Below are 1,876 nucleotides of genomic sequence, written 5' to 3'. Positions count from 1 at the left end.
TTGCCCTTTTGGGGCATTTGCCTCCACTGTGACACTCTCAGAGGACTTGAACACAAATACCATTTTTATTTGGAGGCACTTGTTGGTTTTTATGTTCAAGGGAAGAAGGAACCACTACGAGTGAGCTGTTTAACCCGGGAAAGGAAAGATCAGCATATTGTAGTGAGTTATTGGATTGATGATTTATTCTGCTTAGGGAGGGTGAAGTAGAAAGATCTCCACAACACACAGTCGAACAAAGCTTTTAAAAACCTTTGGGTGTTAACGCTATATTTCTTGGCATGATTTAATTATGCCACCCAACCTCCCCACCCCATGAGCACATCTTACATAGTGGAACTAGGGAATGATTATTTTTCAAGGAAGTTTACAAAGAAAAATAATTAAACCCTGACAGTGCCTGCAAATGTCAAAATACAGATTTCCTCCAGTGATCATTTCTTTAACCACTGGGGTAAGCAAGTTATCCTTTGTCCTGGGGCAACATTGTGTAGCCAGCAATGGTCACAGACCCAAGAGTCACAAAAGAAAAAAATGTGATCTCGCTGATGCCTCCCCAAGCATCTACTCTGCTTCCATAAAACACCTTTCAAGACCTTTGAAATTTGGTTTCTGCCAGGCAATTAACTCATCTTAACGTGCATTCTACATATCCAAGTGCCTTTTCTGGCCCTCTGTTTGCACTTGCCGGCATCCACATTGTTTTCTATTATTATTCAAGCAGCGCCGCCTCAGTAGTAAACCCATTGACCATTCAATCAGAGCAGTGGCTGCTGTGGATAATTAAAAGTTCCCAACCTCTTACCCCAAGGCCAGGCTAGAGCCAGTCAGAGAGGAGCCAGGTCCCAGCTGCTCAGGGACCAATCGATCAGCTGATTAACCCTTCTTACTGATTGGTTAGAGCTGATTGCATCTCCCGTAAAGAAATCTCTTCTGGCCCTGGGGCACTGGAGGCAACTATACATTCAGGGTGGCTGAGGGAGCGGCTAGCTGCGGCAGTCACTGTCCTCACACAAAGTAAAGGGAGGAAAAGAGAAGAACTCCTAATGCAACATTTTAAAGATTTTATCTCTCCACCACTGTTTTTTCCCCTAGACTGTCTTTATTTCTAGAGAGAGAAGTCTCTGTCTGAGATTCAGGAATGGCAGAAAAGATATTTGGTATGGCAGTTGCTGCTATGTAGCCCGTGAAACGGAGGATTCTTTTTGACAACAGTGTCCCCAAATGTCCCCTTGCAAAATGGCTGACGTCAGAAAGTACACACCCTTCATAAAATGGGTCCCTCTCCTGGAAGATTGCTTGTTGACCAGTCGACTTTGACAAGGTTTGTATTTGCTGGCTCGTAAATATTTATCCTTGGGTCAGCGTAAACAATCTGTTTTCCATTGTGCTGACATTTTGGTGCAGTGAGTAAAATATACTGTATTGTAACAGAGGCATTTAAAAAAATTGCTACCCCGTTGTTGTCTTTGAAGGGAGTAGCTGAGATGCTATCAGACAGGTGTGGTGGCCAGGCCATTATGAGTGGCTCGTCCGGTTTTCTTAAAGACTGATTTCCACGAATTTGGTAGGAGGGTCCAGATAGGGAAACCCCTGTGAAACGTTATCTCTGCTGGTCCCAGGCTTATCATTCAATCTGCAGCAAAGCGGAGAAAAGCTGAATTTTGCAAAGCTGACTTTGCAAATATTATCTTTGCCTCTGTCTTCGAGAAGGCCAAGCTCCCACTGACGTCAAAGGCAGTTGGCCTGTGGGGAATGTGCGGGCTCAGTCAGAGTGCGTGTCCAATGCCTTGGTGGAAAATGCAGCCGGCAGGTTGGAAAACAAATGTTTTCAAAATGCTCATGTTTTGCCCTTATTTTGGGATACTTATTCGTG

The 1,876-nt window shown here is 44.3% G+C and overlaps 1 annotated feature.

The window, feature by feature from the left end:
- Positions 353–1,074: an enhancer, noted in NCBI's record as "OCT4-NANOG hESC enhancer chr6:10315195-10315916 (GRCh37/hg19 assembly coordinates)". NCBI's record gives its function as "activates a minimal SCP1, AML or CMV promoter by ChIP-STARR-seq in naive and primed H9 embryonic stem cells {active_cell/tissue: H9 hESC(naive and primed)}" and the evidence as "EXISTENCE:reporter gene assay evidence [ECO:0000049][PMID:30033119]".

This window comes from Homo sapiens, chromosome 6, assembly GCF_000001405.40.
Source record: "Homo sapiens chromosome 6, GRCh38.p14 Primary Assembly".
NCBI classification, from domain to species: Eukaryota; Metazoa; Chordata; class Mammalia; order Primates; family Hominidae; genus Homo; species Homo sapiens.
The sequence above is the reverse complement of the archived record's forward strand: the minus strand, read 5'-3'. Positions and strand labels throughout refer to the sequence as shown.